Source organism: Homo sapiens, chromosome X (assembly GCF_000001405.40).
Source record: "Homo sapiens chromosome X, GRCh38.p14 Primary Assembly".
NCBI lineage: Eukaryota > Metazoa > Chordata > Mammalia > Primates > Hominidae > Homo > Homo sapiens.
In genome coordinates, this window is record NC_000023.11 from 100968120 (window position 1) to 100993020 (window position 24901).

Here is a 24901-nt window from a genome sequence, read left to right on the forward strand (position 1 = left end):
ACTGAAAGAGCTCCCCAGGCCAAAGTTGGAACGACTTGAGCAAGAAAATAAAGAGGTATTGATTATAATCAGAGGATAAAATAAATATATGTGAGCCCATACTGTATAAATGAATGATTTAATAAACAAATGTGTAAGAATAGACAGACCCCCCCCCCATACAGAAGAATTCCAAACAACTTTTGTAGATACTCCACCTCAAGGAGGTGGAGGATAACTCCCCATTCTATAAGTATGGCCAATGCATACTGATTTCCTTCTAAAGAGTACAGGATAGAAAGTAGGGGGAGTATCTTTACAGTGGAGAAATCTGATAAACACTGCCTCGGCCAGGTGATCAAGGTTAACATCATCAGTGATAAGTCATGTTGACAGCATGTATCCTTGATATGATGTGATGAGGATGGCACGTTACCTCTGTGGCCTTCCTCCCAAGAACACATAACTTCAGTCTAATCATGAGAAAAACATCAGATAAACAACAAGTGAGGGGTATTCTACAAAATACCTGATGAACACTCCTGTCAAGGTCATCAAAGACAAATAGAGTGGCTGGATGTGGTATCTCATGCCTATAATTCCACCCCTTTGGGAGGCCACAGTGGGAGGATCACTTGAGGCCAGGCTTCAAGACCAGCCTGGGCAATATAGCAAGACCCTTCTCTAAAAAGAATAAAAAATAAATTAGCCAAGGATGGTGGTGCATGCCTGCAGTCCTAGGTACTTGGGAGGCTGAAGCAGGAGGATTGCTTGAGCCCAGGAGTTTGAGGCTGCAGTTAGCCATGATCACACTACTGCACTCCAGCCTGGGCCACAGAGCCAGACCTTGTCTCCAAAAAACAAAACAAAACAAAATCTGAGAAGCTTAAGTTAAAAACTAAGGAAATCTGAATGAAGTATGGACTTTAGTTAATAACAATGTATTAATACTGGTTCATTAATTGTAACAAATACAGCATCGTAAGATGTTAACAATGAGGGAAATTGGGTGTTAGGGATGGTTACTCACTGTACTGTCTTAGCAATTTTTCTGTATATCTAAAACCATTCTGAAAAATAAAGCATTTTATAAAAAGTTCACTAAGTATGATACAGTTTGGCTAGAAGAGATAGAGATACGCAGAGCAGAGGCAGTTTCTCTGGTATCTGAGGTCTGCAAGACCTTTGACCTAATACAGACCCTGAAGCCAGAATGCCTAGGTTTGAATTCTGGCTTTACCATTTATTAGCTAGGTAACCTTTGGCAAGTTATGTAACCCCTTTGTGAACAACTTCATCTCTGAAAAGTAGGAATGATAGCCCCTACTTTGTCATGCTGTAGTAAGGATTAAATGAATTAATGTGTATAAAGTGCTTTAATGAGCCCTGGCACAAAGTAAATTCTATATAAATATTTTGTAAAATGAATAAAAACTATGATGACTTAAAGTTCCTTTAGTAATTATCTATAATCATACAAGGTAAGGAGATATGAGTTTGGTTGCTATGAACCAGGTAGTGGTTGCCACAGACATGTCAGTACCGTGACAACCATTATTAGGACATTGCCATAGCTTTTATAAATGGACAACCTAAGCTGTGTTAATCTGACAAGAAGGCTAGAAAGCTCAATGCGTCTTCCTATTACTCTGCATATCTTATGTCTTCCATCCAAAAAGAATCAACTTATCAGATAAATAACCACCTCATGGTAAGCAAAATATGTCACTATCTTCATTTTACAGATAAGAAATTTGGAAATGGTAGGTTTAGTTGAGGTGATTTCACTTCAGGCTACCCAGAAGAGGCACTAGAAATAAAGGATCAGTCCAGCAATCCCTAATTCAATCATTTTCCCAGTTGGGTTTTCATACCTACCCTTCCTTATAAAGGAAGAACTTGTGTGATGCCAATTTGACACTTCTTGGTGGCACTGACAAACACAGAGAGCCTGACATCAAGTTAGAAGGCTCTGCCAATTATTAGGAAACAGACATGAAGCGGTTACTGGCCTCTTCTCCAAGGGAGATGGCTATCAAGGAACCCAGACAATTAGGCTCTGATGTTTCAGGCTCCTGGTCATATCAGCTTCATGTGCAAAACTGGAGTAAGGCTGGTTTTGATCACAGGCCATATATAAAGTTTCTTTTTTGTCTGGCATAAGCCAGAGCCATTCTCCAGGAGGTCCTTATGGGAAACCTAATGATCTCCTAGGGTCTGAGCTGTGCTATAAGAAATGCTATGAAATGTTAGTATTTTGGAATGGCAACTCTCCAGAACAGTAAATGACTGGATGACTCTGCAGAACCCTGATAAATTATCCATTGATAAGCTGGCACATAAACTGTGCTCATCAGATAGCTAAGCAAAGCCCATCGAAGCATTAACTGAAGTACTTTGCTAACCCAACCAGGGCTTCCTCCAATTTTGGGCTTCAACATACAGTCGTCCCTCAGTAAACTCGGGGGAAATGGGTTCCTGAACCCCCTCATATACCAAAATCTGTGCATTCTCAAATCCTGCAGTTGGCACTGCGAAACCCATGTATATGAAAAGTTAGCCCTGCATATACGTGGGTTTCACATTCACAAATATCCTCATTTGGTTGAAAAAAAAAAAGCCTGGTATAAGTAGACTCATGCAGTTCAAACCCATGTTGTTCAAGGGTCAACCATAATTAGTCATTAGGAAAATGTAAATTGAAACCACAATGAAATACCTACCTCACACCCACTAGGATAGCTGTAAACAAAAAACAAGCATTACTGGTGGGAATGTAAGATGTTGTAGCCACTTTGCAAAACAGTCTGGCAGTTCTTCAAGAGGTTAAATATAGATTTATTATATAACCCAGCAGTAATACTCCTAGGTATATACCCAAGAGAAAAGAAAACATATCCACACAAAAACTTATATACAAATGTTTATAGCAGCATTATTCATAACAGCCAAAAAGTAGAAACAATCCACTTTCCAAGGATGAACCTTGAAGTGATTGCCTAAATTATCCTTTTTACTTAGGCATTCACTTCCAAATCCAGCTGCGCATTGACATCACCTGGGAAGCTTATGCAGCTCCCTGGCAATCTTTGAGGATGGGATACCTGGATTAATGTTTGAATCCAGACTAGACGATCTCTAAGGTCCCTGATAGCCCCAAAACTTGTATAAAATCTCTAATAGTGGGTCACCAATGCCCACATCTTTGAAGAAGAGACATTATTGGTACTTGGAACAGGTCTCCCGATAGGTCCGTCTAGAAGCCTAAGTTGGTTCTTCTCTTAGGCATCATCCCAACCTCCGCAAGGTTGAATAAACATATTCTTAACAAGGATGAACTATGGCTGAAGGGATAGGTCACATCTGATTATGTCTGTGTAGTCTGCTATACTAAGAAATCACCCCATTTTGAAGAAAGTTACTCATTAGCACAGAACTTGTCGCTGCAGTTGAGAATAACCAGTTCCTCCTTCTATGACATTTTTTTTTTTTTAAATGAAATTTTTCAAAATAACTTTAATAACCACTTTTACACTGAGCAGAATATGTCTCTCATTCTCTCAAAAATGGTCAGGAGATAATTTTTTCATTTATGAGTTTCTATTGCAGCTTTCATTTTCTTTTTTTTTTTTTTTTTAATTTATTTTTTTATTGATAATTCTTGGGTGTTTCTCACAGAGGGGGATTTGGCAGGGTCATGGGACAATAGTGGAGGGAAGGTCAGCAGATAAACAAGTGAACAAAGGTCTCTGGTTTTCCTAGGCAGAGGACCCTGCGGCCTTCCGCAGTGTTTGTGTCCCTGATTACTTGAGATTAGGGATTGGTGATGACTCTTAACGAGCATGCTGCCTTCAAGCATCTGTTTAACAAAGCACATCTTGCACCGCCCTTAATCCATTTAACCCTGAGTGGACACAGCACATGTTTCAGAGAGCACAGGGTTGGGGGTAAGGTCACAGATCAACAGGATCCCAAGGCAGAGGAATTTTTCTTAGTGCAGAACAAAATGAAAAGTCTCCCATGTCTACTTCTTTCTACACAGACACGGCAACCATCCGATTTCTCAATCTTTTCCCCACCTTTCCCGCCTTTCTATTCCACAAAGCCGCCATTGTCATCCTGGCCCGTTCTCAATGAGCTGTTGGGCTCACCTCCCAGACGGGGTGGTGGCCGGGCAGAGGGGCTCCTCACTTCCCAGTAGGGGGGGCCGGGCAGAGGCGCCCCTCACCTCCCGGACGGGGCGGCTGGCCGGGCGGGGGGCTGACCCCCCAACCTCCCTCCCGGACGGGGCGGCTGGCCGGGCAGAGGGGCTCCTCACTTCCCAGTAGGGGCGGCTGGGCAGAGGCGCCCCTCACCTCCCAGACGGGGCGGCTGGCCGGGCAGGGGGGCTGACCCCCCCCACCTCCCTCCCGGACGGGGCGGCTGGCCGGGCGGGGGACTGACACCCCCACCTCCCTCCCGGACGGGGCGGCTGGCCGGGCAGAGGGGCTCCTCACTTCCCAGTAGGGGTGGCCGGGCAGAGGCGCCCCTCACCTCCCGGACGGGGCGGCTGGCCGGGCGGGGGGGCTGACCCCCACCCACCTCCCTCCCGGACGGGGCGGCTGGCCGGGCGGGGGGCTGACCCCCCCACCTCCCTCCCGGACGGGGCGGCTGGCCGGGCAGAGGGGCTCCTCACTTCCCAGTAGGGGCGGCCGGGCAGAGGCGCCCCTCACCTCCTGGACGGGGCGGCTGGCCGGGACGGGGTGGCTGCCGGGCGGAGACGCTCCTCACTTCCCAGATGGGGTGGCTGCCGGGCGGAGAGGCTCCTCACTTCTCAGACGGGGCAGCTGCCGGGCGGAGGGGCTCCTCACTTCTCAGACGGAGTGGTTGCCAGGCAGAGGGTCTCCTCACTTCTCAGACGGGGCGGCCGGGCAGAGATGCTCCTCACCTCCCAGACGGGGTCTCGGCCGGGCAGAGGCACTCCTCACATCCCAGATGGGGCGGCGGGGCAGAGGCGCTCCCCACATCTCAGACGATGGGCGGCCAGGCAGAGACGCTCCTCACTTCCTAGATGTGATGGCGGCTGGGAAGAGGCGCTCCTCACTTCCTAGATGGGATGGCGGCCGGGTGGAGACGCTCCTCACTTTCCAGACTGGGCAGCCAGGCAGAGGGGCTCCTCACATCCCAGACGATGGGCGGCCAGGCAGAGACACTCCTCACTTCCCAGACGGGGTGGCGGCCGGGCAGAGGCTGCAATCTCGGTACTTTGGGAGGCCAAGGCAGGCGGCTGCTCCTTGCCCTCGGGCCCCGCGGGGCCCGTCCGCTCCTCCAGCCGCTGCCTCCCGGGCGGCGCTCGCCGGCGCGGCGGCAAAGACTGAGACAGCTCCGCTGCCCGCTGAACTCCATCCTCCCGGCGGTCGGGCGGCGGCGGCTGCCTTCTATGACATTTATAGACACAGTTGGATAGAATGAAGTAATAGACTTCTAACAATCCCAGGCTTTCTGTTTATCAGCACCTGTTTAGTCATAAGCTGACTAAAGGCTCAGTGTTTATAACAGGACTTACTTCTTATTTTCTTTCTTCTCTTAATATTTAAGAACTAAGATGAATCATGTTCCGGCTTTTGTCCTCCTGCTGCTCTTGCCTAAGGACAACAGAAGAGACACGAAGGTAATATTACAATTATTTCCCTAGGCCTATTCCACTATTTCCTCCCACAAATCTGCCCATAGTCCCTCAAGGGACAAATCTTCATAATATATATTGTTAGGTGAAGTGATTAAGCAGTGTTTGTAAGATTGGGGGCAGGGTTGAGGAGGGATGGCCAATTGTACAAGGTTAAGTGAATCAGGGAAGAAAAGCATCCTTGGGGGCTTTGGTGAGGGGCTCCCATACCACCTTCTACTGCTTTGGCTGGGCCTTTTATGGTACATGCATTGAGATTACTGCAGGCAGAGTCCCAAACAATAAGGAAGAGTATAACTCTCTGTTTAGCCTAAAACCTACCTGTTTTAAGACTTTGGGCTCATTTTTCTTTTTCATTTCTAGGAATGTGACCATCCCTATCATTGGCTTGAACAACTCTGGCAAAACTGTTCTTGTGGAGGCATTCCAAAAATGTAAGGAACTAAGAGCATTAGATACTGGCGTGGGTCTCCCATGGACCCCAGAATCCAGTGAAATAATCCTTCCTTCCTAGCATTACTTCATGGCCCTCAATTTCCCTCTTTTTGTGCATAAACACCTCCTAACACACACGCACACACACACATACTCTATCTCTCTCTGTCTCTCTCTCTCTCTCTCCCCCTTCCCTCCCTCCCTTCCCCACATTACATAAACAGCCTGTTTATGTAATGTCTGTCACCTGCTCCCTTTACAAGATATCCTAATTGAAAGTCCTTTCATAGGGTCAGTAGGCGTGAGTTCAAACTACGTAAAGCATTGCAGTCAATTATGAAGGATAGCATGTTTGAAATGATGTCTAGTTTCAGGGCTCAATTAAAGTGGAATTTGGTCTAGATAAGAGAGACAAGTGTGGGATGATAAAGAAGTTTAATAACATGAAATTCTGTGACAGCTAATATAGAGAGTTGGAGCTTGAGAAATGTCGTCAGTTCCGATATGTCCAAGTTTAATACCAGGTCTCTAGTTCAGTATCTTGACATTTCAAGAAGCAGTTACACAGAATTTCAGAAAGCTACTACACTACTTATTAAGGACCAATCAAAGAAGCCAGCACTGTCTGTCACAGGATGCCCTCCATCCATGTTTATTGGATAAATGAAGTAGTATGATGACGTGGTTGAGTTTTAGCTAACCTGGCATCCCTGAACAAAAAAAGCTAACCTGACTCCTCTGCCACTGACCTACCTGAAGTGCTCATCAATTTCCCTGAACTACAGCAACAGCCTTCTAGCTGATCTTGTCATCTCCATTTGTCCCCCCCAGTATTCAATCCACATAGCTACCAGAAAGGACTTAATATAAAAGTCTGATCATGGCACTTCCCTGCTCAAAACTGTTCAATGCCATTATCTTCAAGATAAAACTTAAGTTTCTTAGCAGCACACAAAGCCCTCTATGAGTTGGTCCCTGAGTCCTCCTCCAACTTCATTTCCCATGCTCTCTGCACATGCCCTCTGATACAGCCACAACAAATGACTTGCCATCCCCCTTTTCTAGTTCTGTACATGCTGTCCCACTACCTAGCATTTTATCTCCATCATTATCTACCTGCTAAATCAAAAGCCTCAAGTCACAGCCCAGCTTGACCTCAGGAAAGCCTTCCCTATCAGTGCCCTCCTTCCTCAGCTCCCACTCTATTCCACGCATCGCTCTGGCATGCACTTATTACAACATCATCAGGCAATTGCAAGTCCATCCCCTAAATTGTGAGCCTCTTGAGGAGAAATAATGGATTTTTTCCTCTCTGTATCTTTAGCCTGTGGCCTTTTAGCATTTTCAGGTAGGTATTCAATAAATATTCATGGAATGGATGTTCTCCCCCATTCCGCCATTCACCTGAGACAACATGTTGCCATTTTCTTTGCTTTTTTTTTTTTTTTCTCTGAGACAGAGTCTTGTTCTGTTGCCCAGGCTGGAGTGCAGTGGTGCGATCTCAGCTCACTGCAACCTCCACCTCCCAGGTTCAAGCGATTCACATGCCTCAGCCTCCCGAGTAGCTGGGATTACATGTGTGCACCACCACGCCTGGCTGATTTTTTTGGATTTTAGTAGAGATGGGGTTTCACCATGTTGGCCAGGCTGGTCTGGAACTCCTGGGCTCAAGCAATCCTCCTGCCTCAGCCTCCCAAAGTGCTGGAATTACAGGTGTGAGCCACTGCGCCCGGCGACATGTTGCCATTTTCTATAACAACTTCCTCTGTCCCATTAGCAGCTCCAAGCCTCACATTTTAGCCAATGGGTTCAGCCTTTTATCCCCCCTTGTAGGAAACAAACTTAACTCCTTGCTTCTCCCAGTTCTCTGATAGGCAGAAATGTTTAAGAAGGTAAATAGCAGCAGGAAAAATCCAGGAGCCAGCAAAAATCACAAGATTATTGAAAAACGTGGGGATAATTTTCTAGAGCCCCAACTCAACCTCATCCCTGGATTCCCTTTAGTCTCGGTGGGCCCTAGGAATCTATATTTTAAGAACTCCTCAGGGGTTTCTGATGGCCAGCCAGCTTTTGGAAGCACTCACCTGGAATTACCAGTATGCTATTTTGCCTGTGAGAATGGTGTGTTTCCCATTTTAATTCCTAGAGGACACTGCCTAGAGTCTATTTATTTTGTTACTGCATAACTTGCCCTGTGCTCAGTGAATACCTGGGGGATTATTCATAAATCTATTGGTTGTGACTACATTCACAGATAATTTTTTTAATGGGCACTGATATCACATTCTGAAGAATGTCTCAGGCCACCTCTGTCTACGCAGGACCATCAGAATCAACCTAGTAGGTTGCTCTGTGCCCAAAATTGAATAATTCACCTCCCTTGTCCCTGCAAATGTTTTTGTTGTTGTTGTTAGTTAGTTTTTTGTTTTTTGAGACGGAGTTTCACTCTTGTTGCCCAAGCTGGAGTGCAATGGCACAATCTTGGCTCACTGCAACCTCAGCCTCCTGGATTCAACCGATTCTCCTGCCTCAGCCTCCAAGTAGCTGACATTACAGGCATGTGCTAACTTTTTGTATTTAGTAGAGACAGGGTCTCACCACGTTGGTCAGGCTGGTCTCAAACTCCTGACTTCAGGTGATCCACCCGCCTTGGCCTCCCAAAGTGGTGGGATTACAGGCTTAAGCCACTGCACCCAGCTGCTGCGAATGTTTTTTGCCAAGAACAGATAATTGCCTAGGAAGGAAATGCCCGTCTGTAAGTAAGAACTGTGAACACTTGAAGACACTAGCTATAAAACATTTTGGCACACAAGCCATTTTTTAGTGGTTTTTAGAATTTGTTAAATTTTTATGGGTACATTGTAGGTGTATATATTTATGAGATACGTGAGATACGTTGATACAGGTATACAATGTGTAATGATCAAATCAGGGTAAATGGGGTATCCATCACCTCAAGCATTCACCATTTATTTGTGTTACAAACATTCCAGTTGTACTCCCTCACTTACTCTAAATGTACAACAAATTATTGCTGACTATAGTCACTCTGTTGTGCTATCGAATACTAGATCTTATTCATTCGAACTATATTTTTGTACCCATTAACCATCCCATTCCCTCCCCTCACTATCCTTTCCACCCTGTAGTAATTATCCTTCTACTCTCTTCTTTTTTTTTTTTTTTTTTTTTTTTTTTTTGAGACGGAGTCTCGTTCTGTTGCTCAGGCTGGAGTGCAGTGGCACGATCTCGGCTCACTGCAACCTCCACCTCCTGGGTTCAAGCAATTCTCCTACCTCAGCCTCCCAAGTAGCTGGGATTACAGGCGTGTGCCACCACACCTGGCTTATTTTTGTATTTTTATTAGAGACGAGGTCTCACCATGTTGGCCAGGCTGGTCTCGAACTCCTGACATCAGGTGATCTGCCTGCCTCGGCCTCCCAAAGTGCTGGGATTATAGGCATGTACCACCACACCCGGCTGTGTCCTTCTACTCTTTATCTCCATGAGTTCAATTATTTTACTCTAGGGCTTCCACAAATGAGTGAGAACATACGAAATTTATCTTTCTGTGCCTGGCTTATTTCAGTTAACATAATGTACTTGTTCTGCCCGTGTTGCTGCAAATGACAAGATCTTATTCTTTTTTTATGGCTAAATAGTACTCCATTGTGTATATGTACCACATTTTCTTCATCCATTCATCTGTTGATGGACTCTTAGGTTGCTTCCAAATCTGGGCTATTGTGAACAGTGCTGCAATAAACATGGGACACCAGATATCTCTTCAACATACTGATTTCCCTTCTTTTGGATACATACACAGCAGGTGGATTGCTGCATCACATGGTAGTTCTATGTTTAGTTTTTTGAGGAACTTTCATAGTGGAACATAATTTATATTCTCAACAACAGTGTATGAGGGTACCCCTTTCTCCACAGCCTTGCCAGAATGATCAATATGCTGAGGAGAATAATGTATATCCTACATTCATTGGATGAAATGTTCTGTAAATATCTATTAGGTCCATTTGCTCTATAGTGCAGATTAGGTACAATGTTTCATTGTTGATCTGGATAATCTGTCCAAACTGAAAGTGGGGTGCTGAAATCTCCAATTATTGCTGTATTGGGGTCTATCTCTCTCTCTTTAGCTCTAATAATATTTGCTTTGTATATCTGGGTGCTCCAGTGTTGGGTGCATATATAATTGTTATATACACTTGCTGAATTGATCCCCTTATCATTATATAATGACATTCTTCGTCTCTTTTTATAGTTTTTGTCTTGAAATCTGTTTTGTCTGAAGTATAGCTACTCCCGCTCTTTTGGGTTTCCATTTGTATAGAATATAATTTTCTATCCCTTTCAGTCTATATGTGTCTTTATAGATGAAGTGTGTTTCTTGTAGGAAACAGATCATGTGTTTTTTTTTTTAAATCCACTCAGCCACCCTATGTCTTTTGATTGGAGAGTTTAGTCCATTTATATTCAATGTTATTATTAATAAGGACTTACTACTGTCACCTTGTTATTTGCTTTCTGGTTGTTTTTTGGTCTTTTCCTTCCTTCCTTCCTGTCTTCCTTTTTGTGAAAGTGATTTTCTCTGGTAGTATGTTTTGATTTATTGCTTTATATTTTTTGTCTATCTGTTGTAGGTTTTTTGATTTGAAGTTACCATGGGGCTTGCAAATAACATCTTATAACCCATTTTTTTTTAATATTCACCCACTGCCCCCTGGAAACCCCATTACTTTAAACTGATGACAACTGTGATTGCAAAAACAAGCAAAGAGAAAACTAATATTAATTGTACACTTTAACTTCATCCCCTCTGCTTTTTAACTTTTTGTTGTTTCTATTTATATCTTATTATACTGTCTTGAAAAGTTGCTGTGGTTGTTACTTTTGATAGGTTCATCTTTTAGTCTTTGTACTCAAGCTATGAGTAGTTTACATACCACAATTACAGTATTATAACAATATTCTGTATTTGTCTGTATGAGTTGCTGTTACCAGGGGGTTTTATACCTTCAGGTGATTTCTTATTGCTCATTAACATCCTTTTCTTTCAGATTGAAGTACTCCCTTTGGCATTTCTTGTAGGAGAGGTCTGGTGTTGACAAAAATCCCTCAGCTTTTGTTTGTCTGGGAAATACTTTATTTCTCTTTCATGTTTGAAGGATAATTTTGCTGGATACAATATTCTAGGATAAAAGTTTTTTTCCTTGATATACTTTAAGTATATCATGCCACTCTCTTATTTCAATCTTTGTTAAACTTATCTGATAAATTCTGAATTCCTTCTTTGTGTTATCTTGGACTTCACTGACCTTCCTCAAAACAACTATTTTGAATTCTCTGTCTGAAAGGTCACTTATCTCTGTCACTCTGTAATATGTTACTGGTGCATTATTTAGCTCTTTTAGTGAGGTCATTTTTCCTGGATGGTCTTGATGTTTATTGATGCTCATCAGTGTCTGGGCATTGAAGAGTTAGGTATTTATGCAGGCTGGGGTTGTTTTTACCCATCCTTCTTGAGAAGGACTCAAAGGGAATTGAGTGTTGTCATCAAATATTTGGTCACTGCAGCTGTATATGCATTAGGGGACACCCTAAGCCTAGTAATGCTGTGACTCTTGTAAAGCTGTAGAGGTACCATTTTGGTGGTCTTGGGTAAGATCTGAGAGAATTCCCTGGTTTACCAGGCAAAGTCTCTTGTTCTTTTCCCTTACTTTCTCCCAAACAAATGGAGTCTCTCTCTCTGTGCTGAGCTGCCTGGAGTTGGGGAAGGGGTGATACAAGCACTCTTGTGGCCACGACCACTGAGACTGTGCTGAGTCACACATGAAGCCAACACAGTACTGAGTCTCACCTAAGGCCTGTGGCAACTATTTCCTGGCTATCCCTGATATTTATTCAAGGCCCAAGGGCACTTTAGTCAGTAGGTGATGAATCCTGCCAGGACAGGGTATTTCCCTTCAGTGCAGCAGGTTCCTTTCTGGTCCAGGGTGGGTCTAGAAATGCCACCAGGAGCTAGGGCCTGGGGTCAGGGGCTTTAGAAATCTGCTTGGTGCTTTATTTTACTGGGGCTGAGCAAGTACCCAGGTTGCAAGACAAAGTCCTCTTTATATTTCTCTCCCCTTTCCTCAAGCAGAATTGGCCACCACAGCCCCAAGCCCATAGCGACTATAGCCTGGCTACCACCAATGTTTATTCAAGGCCCGAGGGCTCTTTAGTCTGCAGGCAGTGAGTCCTGCCAGGCCTGGGTCTCTCCCTTCAGGGCAGTGTGTTCCTTTCTGGCCCAAGATGAGTCTAGAAATGCCCTCCAGGAGCTAAGGCCTGGAATCAGGGACTTCAGGAGTCTGCTTGGTGCTGTATTTTACTGTGGCTGAGCTAGTACTGAAGTTGCAAGACAAAGTCCTTTTTACTCTTCTCTCTCCTTTCCTCAAGCAGGAGTCTCTCCTGATGGCCACCACTGCTGAAAATGTGCTGGGTCACACCTGAAGCCAGCACAATACCAGGTCTTGGCCAAGGCCCATGGTGACTACTGCCTGGCGCTTGCTTGGGATGTTTACTAAAGGCCTAAGGGCTCTTTAGTCAGGTGGTGGTGAATCCTGTCAAGACTGGGTCCTTCCTTTCAGGGCACTGGGTTCCCTTCTGGCCCAGGATGGGTCTAGAAATGTCATCGGGGAGCCATGGCCTGAAATGGGGGCTTCGGGACTCTGCCTGGTACTTTATTTTCCTGTGGCTGAGCTGGTATTCAAGTTGTAACACAATGTTCTCTTTACTCTTCCCTCTCCTCCTGGAGCTGCAAGCTGTGCTGCCCGGCACTGGTGGGAGGGGTGACACAAGCACTCCCTTGGTCACTCTGGCTGGTGACTCACTAGGTTGCATGCCCCCTGAGTCCTTGGCTCCAAGCCCATCACAGCACCAGGACTTGTCCAGGAACCGCAGTCCTTGTGGCCTGGACTGCCTTTTAAATTTATTTAGCACCCCAGAGCACTTCAGGCCATGGTGGCAGGGCTTGCTGGAACTCAGGTTCCAACTGTTGGAATGGACAATTTCCCTCTGGCTAGGGCTGGTCTAAATGCTTCCTCCGTAAGTGCTGGGCAAATTCTGCCCTATGTAGTTTTCTGCTGTGACAGGGCAGCACTGAGTTCCAATCCAAAGTCCTACAATCACTGCACTCTCTCTTTCAAGCACAGATTCTCTCTGTGCCATGTGGTGCTGCCAGGGGATGAGGAAAGGGTGGTGCTGGTGATTCAAGACTCTTTCCCACCCTCTTCAGTGCCTCTTTCCTTGACATGATGTTATAACCAAGGTGGGGTGCGGGGGCTCATGCCTGCAATCCCAGCACTTTGAGAGGCCAAGGCAGGCAGATCACTTGAGCCCAGGAGTTCAAGACCAGCCTGGGCAACATGCCAAAACTCTCTACAAAAAAAAAAAGAAAAAAAAAAATTAGCCAGGTATGGTGACACATGCCTGTAATCCCATTTACTCAGGAGGCTAAGGTGGGAGGATCACTTGAGTCCAGGAGGTCAAGGCTGCAGTGAGCTGAGACTGAGCCACTGCACTCCAGCATGGATGACAGAGTGAGACCCTGTCTCAAAAAAAGAAAAAAATACAGATGTTATAACCAGGTACTGTGATCGCTCACCTAATTTTTGGTTCTTATGAAGGTGCTTTCATGTGGATAGTTGTTCAATTTGGTGTTCCTGCAGGGGTGACCATCACTGAAGGATTCTATTTGGCCATCTTATGCCGCCATCTCCAAGTCATTATTATTGACCATTCACTAAAACTGTTTTGTCTGGCATGGTCATGAAAGGCAAGAAGAAACCCAACCACTGGCACAAGCAGGTGTCCTAAATGAGGACATTTAGACTAGCGCCTTTCAAACCTGGCTATATATTTCAATCAGCTGGGGAGCTTTTTAAAAAAATCATGATGCTTCAGCCCCACCCCAGATCTATGGACTCAAACCTTGAGAGAACGAGGCCTGGAGGTGGCTGGGTGTGGTAGCTCACGCCTGTAATCCCAGCACTTTGGGAGGCCAAGGCGGGTGGATCACCTGAGGTCAGGAGTTCGAGACCAGCCTGGCCAACATGGTGAAACCCCCGTCTCTACTAAAAATACAAAAATTGGCTGGGTGTGGTGGTGGGGGCCTGTAATCTCAGCTACGCAGCAGGCTGAGGTAGGAGAATTGCTTGAACTCGGGAGGCAAAGGGTGTAGTGAGACGAGATGGTGCCACTGCACTCCAGGCTTAAAAAATAAATAAATAAATAAATAAATAAATAAATAAATAAAATGCTCTACAGGTGATCATGGAGAACAGTGGATACTGAGAACCAATAACCAGAATCACCTGGGGAGCTTTCAAACCTACTGACGGGACCTGGAGATTCAAAAGTTTGGTCTGGGAAGGGCCTATGGAATCTACAGTTTTCTTTTTTTTTTTTTTTTGAGACAGAGTCTCACTCTGTCACCCCGACTGGGGTGCAGTGGTACAGTGGTGTGATCATGGGTCACTACAGCCTCGATTGACCAGGCTCAAGCGATCCTCCCACCTCAGGCTTCCAAGTAGCTGGGACTACAGGTGTGTAGCATGGAATCTGTATCTTAACAAACTCACCAGATGATGCTGAGACACAATCAGGCATGGGTTTCATGGCTCTCTAGAGTAGTGGTACTCAAGCTTTAAAGTGCAGAAGAATCACCTCAGGATTTTGTTAACCATAGGGAGTTCATTAAACATGCAAATGCTTGTGTCCCAAGCCTAGAGGTTTTGATTCATTTGGTCTGGACTAGGCTTTAACAATCACCCCCATGTAATTCTCAATTATATGGTGCCCGGACCATGCTTTATGAAACACTCCACTAGGGATACAGAAATGAAATCAGACTCAGTACCGGTCCTTAGAGTGTTTATACGTTAATAGAGGAAATAAGATAAATGTAAATTGTCAGGGAACAACCGCTCACAGCATCTAGGGTTCACCAACAATAGAATGCACTAACTGAAGGAACTGGTAAGGTTTCAAGTAAAAAGAAAAAGAAAACTAGGAAAAAAATTTTTTTCTCTGACAGGGCAAAAAAAATATATAAAGCTTTTCTCGATGCAGGAAACTCTAATATTACCTTTAGAGTTTTAACCTATTCACTTTTTTTTTTGAGACAGACGTCTCGCTCTGTCACCCAGGCTGAAGTGCAATGGTGAGACCTCAGCTCACTGCAACCTCTGCCTCCCGGGTTCAAGTGATTCTCCTGCTTCAGCCTCCCGAGTAGCTAGGATTACAGGTGCCCGCCACCACGCCTGGCTAATTTTTGTATTTTTAGTGGAAACAGGGTTTCACCATGTTGGCCAGGCTGGTCTCGAACTCCTGACCTCAGGTGATCTGCCTGCCTCGGCCTCCCAAAGTGCTGGAATTACAGGTGTGAGCCACCGTCCCTGGCCCACTTGTTATTTTTGAGTAGTCTAATACAGATATAGCAAATATCACATCAAAGTTTTGGCTGAAAATTATTTTATCTGAAAACTATAATTTAACAGTTCATTGCCTAACATGAAATCAGAAGAGATGTTATGAAAATCACATTTAAACATAATAATAATATATACATATACACACATATATATGTACTCTCATTTCCAAAGACCCAAAAGTATATTACTAACTTTTCACGTTAATGACTCATTTTAGCAATGCTATGGAAAATGTCACATGCAGATCTAAGACTACAAATAAGAAGTTATGCATTCTAGTCTTAGTGCTCCCAGGTATGGGTGCAGAGAATGTATAAAGTCATTTTGCTACTAATGTGGGAAGAGAGCTAGGCTAGAACGGTCAGTTCAACAGACTGGAACGCATATAAAGGCTGCTGTTTTCCATTTTCCTTCTTTTTTTTTTGTTTTTTGTTTTTTTTTTTTGAGATGGAGTTTCACTCTTGTCCCCCATGCTGGAGTGCAGTGGCGTAATCTCAGCTCACTGCAACCTCTGTCTCCAGGGCTCAAGCGATTCTCCTGCCTCAGCCTCTCAGGTAGCTGGGATTACAGGCGTGTGCCACCGCACCCGGCTAAGTTGTTTTTTGTTTTTTTTTTTCTTTTTTTGTATTTTTAGTAAAGATGGGGTTTTGCCATGTTGGCCAGGCTGGTCTTGAACTCCTAACTTCAGGTGATCTGCCCGCCTCAGCCTCCCAAAGTGCTGGGATTACAGGCGCGAGCCACCGTGCCCAGCCAAGACTACCGTTTTCAACTCCATTTCTATGGGAGTTGAATGAGGTATGGAATTCCCTATGAGATTTTGTGTTCTGGCTATAGCTTTTCAAAGGAAAATGTGTCTAAGTCTAGCATGGTTTCTTGGAAGAGATATGTGGGAGACAACTTCATACCCTCATCTACAGTAACAACCACCATAAACATTTATTGAACACCTACTGTGTGTAAGGTAATACAGACATCCTCCCTCATATAGCTTACGTTTTAGTTGGAGAGACAAAGCAAGCACAAAAAGAGGTGAAGGACCAGCTCAACAGACCATGTGCTCAACAAGAAAGAGAGAGAGAAGTGAGAAGTGGACAGACCAGAGAAGTCTTCCTAAACAGTACTTGAGCTGGGTATTGAAGGGTGGGAGAGAAGGACCTCCTGTTCATTCATTCATTTATCAGATTAATCCAATAATGAATGTGCTTGGCATCATGAATGTAATGGTGAATAAATTTCAATAAAATTGAAAGGGTTCCTGTCCTGTTGCAGTTTACAACCCAGATAAATAAACCATAGAATTTACAACACTGTAATATGTGCTATGACAATGGTAAACTCAGAAGAAAGGTACCTTATCCAGATGGCTGGTGTGTGGGAAAACTCCAGAATAAACAAGATCAAAATTGACATTTTAAAAAATAGGCATTAACTAAGCAAAGAGTAGAAGTGTTCTAGGCAGAGAGAATGGCATCTTGTAACATCCCAGGGCAAGAGAGAGCAAGACATTGATGTAGAGTGGGAGAAGTAAGGGCAAAGGAGCCAAGGGAAGAACAGATTGGGTATGTACTAGGGACAGTGTGGACACTTGTCAGGTTACAGCGCTAGGAGATAGGTCTGGCAGGTTAGGAGGTGAAGGAGTCTGTATTATCTCTGGAAGCAGTGGACACTCACTAAAGGTTACTGAGCCAGGAGAGGATAGCATGGGTAAAGCGATGATTTAGGAAGATAGCCCCCAAGTATGGGCAGGGTGGCAGGATGCTTCAGTGGGATTTCTCAGAGCAGGCTCTAGTCAGGGTTCAACAAATTATTTGATCTAACTATATTTCCCTACTTTGTGATTGCTTTTCCTCTCTTCCCCTCTGCATAGTACTTCCCAGCAGGATAGACAACTGCATGAAATCGGAACCGACTCTACTCCTGTTAGATGAGTATGGAGTTTCGATCTAAGTGATTGCTTCTCCTCTTTTCCCCTATGCACAGTACTTCCCAGTAAGACAGACCATTGCATGAAATCGGAACTGACTACACTTTTGTTAGATGAGTATGAACTTTCCATCTATGACCTGAATGGAGACCTGAAGGGCCGGGAAGCATGGCCAAACTACTATGCACAGGCCCATGGGCTTGTTTTCGTCCTGGATTCCAGTGACATAAGACGCATGCAGGAAGTGAAGATCATCTTAACACATCTGCTGTCCGATAAAAGAGTGGCAGGGAAACCCATCTTAATGTAAGATTCTGCCTTTCTGTCCTATTTCTGCTTCCCAATTTGTACCCTTAAAAGTATAGAAATGAAGGGTGGGGTGGTCCCTTTGTCACACCCAGCTAGGCCTCCTGTTCCCTTAGGCTCAGTGAGGTAGAGCGGCCCAATTTTCTGAGGTTTGTTCTCAAGAGCTACTTTCTACCACACACTGCCATGGGGGACAAGTTACCTAACTGTACAAAGGTAATTTTGAAGGGAAGCATCAAAGGGAAATGAAAAGTGGTATCCACCACCTCCACCCCTTGACTCTTCCTGAAGACTATCTTCCTGAATTTGCTTATCATCTTTTCTGGTTTCGGTCTCTGATCCTGAAACCTCATGATAGCAGAGAACTCCTATCTTGTATAATTGATGCCAATGACCTCCTCTCTGATCAGATTGCTCAAAAGTTACATAACTAGCACTTATTCCAGGGTGATAATGCAGGTGGCCAGTCAATTCTCATCCCCGCCCCCATCTCCCTTTATGCTTCTTTCATTCCTCATTAGCAACCCCAACTAGAGCATGAACAGAGTTTGGGAAAGGATGTAAAAACTCCAAATATGTTCATAGCCCAGTTAGCAATTCTAATTAAAGTTTGATAGCATAATGTAGGGGAAGTGAGAAATGAGCCCTGGGGGGACTATCTTGGATTCAAATGATTTGTGCTATACTTTCCATCATTGGAAGTTGACTAGAAAAATGTCTAGCTCATCTCATTAGGTATGTCTTTAAACCTAATTCCTGGATATGTAGCAGTTATAGTAGAATTTGTTCTCCTCCTCTTTCCCTTCTTTTCTCGCCTTTTGCTTCTGTTTTGGTTTCACTCTTCCACTCTTTTCCTCCCTCTCTCATATGCTGTTTTAGTTTAGCAAACAAACAAGACAAGAAGAAAGCCCTCATGCCTTGTGATATTATTGACTATCTACTTCTAAAGAAGCTAGTGAAAGAGAATAAGTGCCCATGCCGAGTAGTAAGTGTCAACCTCTTCCTTCCCTCTTCCTCTGGAGCCCAGCTGATGCAGCCCTTGGCCCATTCTATAGTCAGTCCCATATGTTGGGTTTGGGGCAAAGTCTCTCCCTGTCAGGCAACACCCACAGTGATTCCTGACTTGATGGTGATAATAAATATTGCATTCTGCCTTCAAAATAATTCTGTAAAGGGGACACATGAATATCCCCATTTTATGGATAAAAAAGCCAAGGCTCAGAGACTCTACGTGACTTGCTCAAGGTCACACACCCAAGACACCACAGCCACTTTATTAAAGGACCTCAGATTTTATGTCTGTCATTTGCCTTCTCAGATGTGAATGCTGTGTGTCTCCTAGAAGTCTCAGAGCCTCTCTAGGCATAGCAGAGTTTATGTGTTCCTTCACTCTTTGAATGAGAGTGACTGGTTCTGCGGGCCCCAGGGGTCCCAGGCTCCAGGTCTGCAGCCTTCTCTTCTCTTTTGTCACAGGAGCCATGTTCAGCCATCAGAAACCTTGAAAGAAGAAACCATCAGCCCATAGTTGAAGGACTGCGCTGGCTATTAGCTGTCATTGATACTTGCCAACTACCACCTACCTCGAGCATCTCAATCTCCAAGAATAACACAGGCTCTGGAGAAAGATGCTCATCACACAGGTACTGAGATGCCGCTATGAGATTTGCTGATAAGAAAAGCTGCAGGGATCAGTCTTTCTCACGAGCAAGGAGTTCTGGGAGGTGCTTGGATCCTGGGTGGCATTGAGCAAGTCTCTTGATATCATTGGCTCAAATGGGGCTAGGGCAGTGCCCACCAACACTCCAACATTGTTAGGTATACCCCATCCCTGGCATAACTTGAGTGGTCATATGAGGGGAATGATTTTCATAAAGGTAAGCCAACCTATCAGCATTAGAGCTTCCCCAAAACAGGGTTTCTAATATCTGATTTGCCATGTGGAGGAGAAAAGGAACATGAGCCCCTTAAGGAGCCTACTGGCATTATTCTATGGATAAATGCCATGAACCTACTCAATATTCTCAGCCTCTAGTTCTATAATCCTCCCAATAATGAGGAATGATGGGAGAGGACAGAAATGTTGAAAAGACGAAAAAGAAAAAGAAAATAGGAGGTGATCAGAGTTTTGAGGAGCAAAAGGCCTAAACATCCTCTTGCTCTGTTGTCACTTTCATTGCCCAAAGGCATATGGCAGGGATGGGGTAGTAGCTGCATTAGATAAAGAAGCTTGAAGTGTGTCCGTTTCTACTACTGCTGTCCTTTCCATCTTCCACCAGCTTCTCCACCAGAACAGGAATGTCAAAGGAGAAAAGACAGCATCTAGAACAATGCTCAATCGAAGCTAAGCCTCTAAAGTCAATCCTACAGGTAAATGGCCCTTTAAATGTTAATATTCAGTGACCAATCCCTGAACACGTGGGCACCAACTAACTTTCCCCCCCATCATCTTCTTGCTGTACAGAAAGAAGGTACGAGATTATGGTCTAAAAAGAATATGTCAGTAACATTTGCTTTAGATGAACCCATGAAAGAAGGTGAATGTTCTAGGAGAATGAGAGCTCAGAATACTACGAAGCTTTGCTACAATTGAAGGAGTGGCTTATAGACTCCAGCTCCATATGCTGATGACAATATTTTTGAAGGTAATGCTGGATCAGTGGTTAGAGAAGAAAATTTACATAGGCCTTCCCTAACAATTTCTACAATAGTATTCCAATTTTGAGCCTGAATTTCTTTCCTCACTCTATGGTTGGTGATTAGGAGAAAAGCACCTTCCTGTAGGAAGGGTGCTTGGGTACCATCTTCTGGTAGTCCAGCATGATGCCCCAGCACTGGTTGACATAAGATCTTTAGATGGCTATAGGGTTATCTTAAAGTTTATTATTCCAGTGGTGAAAGTACAAGAACTTTATATATATATGAGATAATATATCTCATATATATATATATATATATATATATATATCAAGAATTTAAAAACATGAATACACTATGAACCAGTAATCTCAATTCTTGAGCTGTCTCCAAGGATAATTACGCAAGTACCCAAAAAACGATGCTCAAGGATGTTTAATCACAGCACTGTGTACAATAAGTAAAAGTAGGAAACATCCTATATGTCCAACAATGGAGAATGGCTAAATAAATTAGGATGCATCTATGCCATGGAATACTATGCATACATTAAAAAGGCTAATGTGGACTTATATTTACTGACATGGAAAGTTTTCCACAACCTGGCATTTTTGTTAGGGAAAATAGCAAGTTAGAATACAGCACGTATAGCACGATACATATACAGATATAGAAATACCTGGAGGAATATCACTGAAAGATACTAGGTGGTTGTGAGATGTAAAAGGCCAAGGTGCCTTTCCTTTGGATTTTTGTTTTATTAGAAATTTTCTCTTTTTGGCCAGGCGTAGTGGCTCACACCTGTAATCCCAGCACTTTGGGAGGCTGAGGCGGGCGGATCATGAGGTCAAGAGATCAAGACCATCCTGGCCAACATGGTGAAACCCGGTCTCTACTAAAAATACAAAAATTAGTCGGGCATGGTGGCGGACGCCTGTATTCCCAGCTACTGGGGAGGCTGAGGCAGGAGAATCGCTTGAACCCAGGAGGCGGAGTTTGCAGTGAGCCGAGATAGCGCCACTGCACTCCAGCCTGGCAACAGAGCGGGACTCCATCTCAAAAAAAAAAAAAAAAGACATTTTCTTTTTTTATAATAAGCAGATATCACTTCTCCCAATACAAAAATAAGCTATGAGGGCTTAAAGGCTGTAGTTACTGGCCACTCATTCTCAGTATTCCTTAGCACCTCAGTCTCCAAGATTGTCAACTGTCAATATTATAATGTCATCTCAGCTCTGAAAGGGACATGGCCTTTTATATCCCTGGCTACCTTGGAGCTTTGGGTTGTCACACCTACATGGAGGGGCTTGGACTTGGCCTGGGCCACTAACAAGGAGACAGACACTGCTCTGGGGACAAGGGGTGAGGATGAGAGCAGAGAGTAGAGCGGAAGGAAGTGGTAGAAGAGGAAGTGTTTTTTTAGATAACTACCCCTAAATCTTTGTCCAAAATTTAAATCCATTTTCCTTTCTATAACTCCAGAACTTATGGCAAAAAAGAGAATGGATACCTGGGACACAGATAAGATGTTACTGGAAAATTCCTGTGAAGAAGCCTTTGGTTCCTATAGTTAATACTACTTAAATGAAGGGCAGAGGGGAGAGAGCAAGAGTGAGAGAAAGTACGAGGCCAGGGCAGAGGATGGGCACCTCATGGGGTGCAGTCTATACCCTGTTGGAAACTGGCCAATACCCTCCTACCATGAAATGGTCTGGGAAGGACAGGAAGCCTGGCACTTGGCTTCACTTACAATAACTGACCTTTTTCTCTTTTTACTTTCAACAGAGAAAGTAAAAGAAAGTAACAGAGAAAGTAAAGAGAAAAACAGAGGGAAACCAAAAGAAACAGTTGATATCCCTCCCTTAGCAAACAGGTTCATCTCCAGAACTATCAGGACTACCCGGTTTTTAAATTTCCATTTGATAATATTTCTACACTCCCCATACAACTCCACCTACTCTAATATCACATCCCTGAGAACCCCTGTTGTTCCTGTATATCTATATTCTAGCCATCAAATCAATCCTATACTCACTGAGAGGCTCAAGAAGAGTGAGATGGCATCCATTGAGAATGAAGACCACCTTGGTAAAAAAGAACAGAGACTTTACATCTTTGTACCGAGATGCTGCTGACAAAGCTTGTGGACAATAAGTCATGGGTGATCAACCAAAACTGAGCCTTAGAAATACAGGGTTCATTTAGAAATAAGTATTTTTTTCTTTAAGGTTCTTAGGCAGAAAAGGATTGGCAAAAATAAATAGAACTTCTTTGCTGAGAATTATGCTCTACTGAATCATTTTCAGTCATACCTCCATAAACAACTTTGTTTTAAAGCCCCAGACACTGTCTGTGAAGCCCAGAACAATTGCTTTGCTGTCCCTTCAGGAACAGCAACTGCTGCCTCTACCAACAATTTGGTTAGCTATGCAAAAAAATGTAGGCACTTGAATGCATTGATCCCTCTATCCCAAGGGTGGCAGTGGTAGTGGTAGTAGTTATTTACCATTACTACTACTATAGGTTGAGTATCCCTTATCTGAAATGCTTGGGACCAAAAGCATTTCAGATTTCAGATTTATTTTCATTTATGAATATTTGCATTATATGTACTTACTGGTTGAGCATCCCTAATCCAAAAATCTGAAACATTCCAATGAGCATGTCCTTGAGTGTCATGTCAGGACTCCAAAAGTTTCTAATTTTAGAAGATTTTGGATTTTGGATTTTCACATTAGGGATGCTCAATCTATATTACCTTCACCATGAGCAGCACAGCCACCATTTATTGAGTGCATTCTGGATGCCAGGCACAGTGCTAAGTTTTTGTTTTGTTTTGTTTTGTTTTGAGACAGAGTCTCACTGTCTCCCAGGCTGGAGTGCAGCGGCGTGATCTCGACTCACTGCAAGCTCCACCTCCTGGGTTCACGCCATTCTCCTGCCTCAGCCTCCCAAGTAGCTGGGACTACTGGCGCCCACCACCACGGCCAGCTTTTTGTATTTTTAGTAGAGACGGGGTTTCACCGTGTTAGCCAGGATGGTCTCGATCTCCTGACCTCGTGATCCGCCCGCCTCGGCCTCCCAAAGTGCTGGGATTACAGGCATGAGCCACCGCGCCCGGCCCACAGTGCTAAATTCTTTATTTCCATTATCTTATTCACAACAACCCTTGGGGGTAAGCACTATACCTGACTGCATTTCACAGATGAGGAAACTAAGGGGCAGAAAAGTCAAATTTGCCCAAGGTCCCACTGCCTACAAAAAGCAGAGCAGGATGTTCTCACTCACATGTGGGAGCTTACAAAAAAAGTGGATCTCATGAAGATAGAGAATAGACTGGCAGTTTCCAGAGGACAGGAAAGTGCGGGGCGGTGGGGGTTGGGGCGGGAGATGAAGAGAGGCTGATTAATGGATACATATATACAGTTTGACAGATTGGTAGGGTGACTATAATCATCTATTGTATACTTCAAAATAGCTTGAAGAGAATAACTCAAATGTTCTAGCATAAAGGCAAATATTAAAGGTGATGGATATCCCAATTACACTGATTTGATCTTCATAAATTAGATGATGTATTATCATACATACCCACAAAATGTGTACATATATATCAATTTAGAAATTAAATTGAATTTTAAAATTTGGGGGTGAGGAAAAAAAAAAGCAGAGCAGGGAATTCAATCCCGATCTTTCTGACTCTAGAGCTACTTAAAGCCAGAAAGAAAGAGAAAGCTTTATTTAAGAAAAAATGCTGGCCGGGTGCAGTGGCTCATGCCTAGCACCTTGGGAGGCCAAGGCAGGTGGATCACTTGAGGTCAGGAGTTCAAGACTAGCCTGGCCAATATAGTGAAACCCCATCTCTACTAAAAATACAAAAATTAGCCGGGCATGGTGGCACGAGCCTGTAACACCAGCTACTTGGGAGGCTGCGGTCGGAGAATCGCTTGAACCCCAGAGGTGGAGGTTGCAGTGAGCCGAGATTGCACCACTGCACTCCAGCCTGGGCAACAGAGTAAGATTCGGTCTCAAAAAAAAAATGTTGAAGTATATCCATGCCCGTGTCAGGAGAATTAAGTTAATATCAATAAGCACACCAATAGTGGTAGCACACATTGTTGATTCAGCACTTCCATTTTGCCAGGTGCTGGGCTAAGTGCTTTATATATATAATTACCTTTCATCTTCAAAACCCTCTGAAGTTGATTCTACCACCACCATCTTACAGAGGCAGAAAATGATGTTCAGAGAGGTTAAATAATTTTTCCCTGGGGACCCTGGGACAGGAGGTGGCAGAAATGGTTTTCAAACTAAGGTCCTACTCCATAACCCTTGCTCTACCCTATACCATCTCACCAAGCAGTATAAATGAACTAACTCATAACTGCTTCTGAGGGATAGAAACTTTGTACAGAAAGATCCCTCTTACAACCCCATCTGGAAGGTCTGACACTGTAGATGGTTGCATCA

At 44.0% G+C, this 24901-nt stretch overlaps 2 protein-coding genes across 5 annotated transcripts in view, besides 1 other annotated feature; one reads left to right on the forward strand and one right to left on the reverse strand.

Annotated features, from left to right (window-relative positions):
- Window positions 1–1588: 1588 nt before the first annotated feature.
- ARL13A (ARF like GTPase 13A) lies at window positions 1589–22712 on the forward strand. 4 transcript variants are annotated; one of them, NR_103709.2, is made up of 9 exons: window positions 1589–1690; window positions 5557–5629; window positions 6008–6078; window positions 17548–17797; window positions 18677–18782; window positions 19271–19437; window positions 20074–20164; window positions 20259–20439; window positions 22217–22712. NR_103709.2 is itself a non-coding variant. In NM_001162491.2 (8 exons), the coding sequence occupies exons 2-8, from the start codon at window positions 5571–5573 to the stop codon at window positions 22467–22469; spliced, it is 771 nt and encodes a 256-aa protein (NP_001155963.1). In that variant the 5' UTR covers window positions 1589–1690; window positions 5557–5570; the 3' UTR covers window positions 22470–22712. The 4 variants fall into 4 exon arrangements, 2 of the variants coding, with proteins under 2 accessions (NP_001155963.1, XP_011529253.1); NR_103708.2 differs by having other exon boundaries at window positions 22443–22712; NM_001162491.2 differs by lacking the exon at window positions 20259–20439 and having other exon boundaries at window positions 22443–22712.
- Window positions 5247–24901, reverse strand: part of TRMT2B (tRNA methyltransferase 2B) — a 78746-nt gene continuing 59091 nt past the window's right edge. Inside the window, exon 14 of the transcript XR_001755729.3 lies at window positions 5247–5603. The gene's annotated coding sequence lies outside the window, so the exon portion shown is untranslated. The remainder of the gene's footprint in view (window positions 5604–24901) is intronic.
- Window positions 23223–23418: a silencer, noted in NCBI's record as "fragment chrX:100246331-100246526 (GRCh37/hg19 assembly coordinates)". NCBI's record gives its function as "represses an EF-1alpha promoter that drives an FKBP-Casp9 reporter gene in an ReSE screen in K562 erythroleukemia cells {active_cell/tissue: K562}" and the evidence as "EXISTENCE:reporter gene assay evidence [ECO:0000049][PMID:32094911]".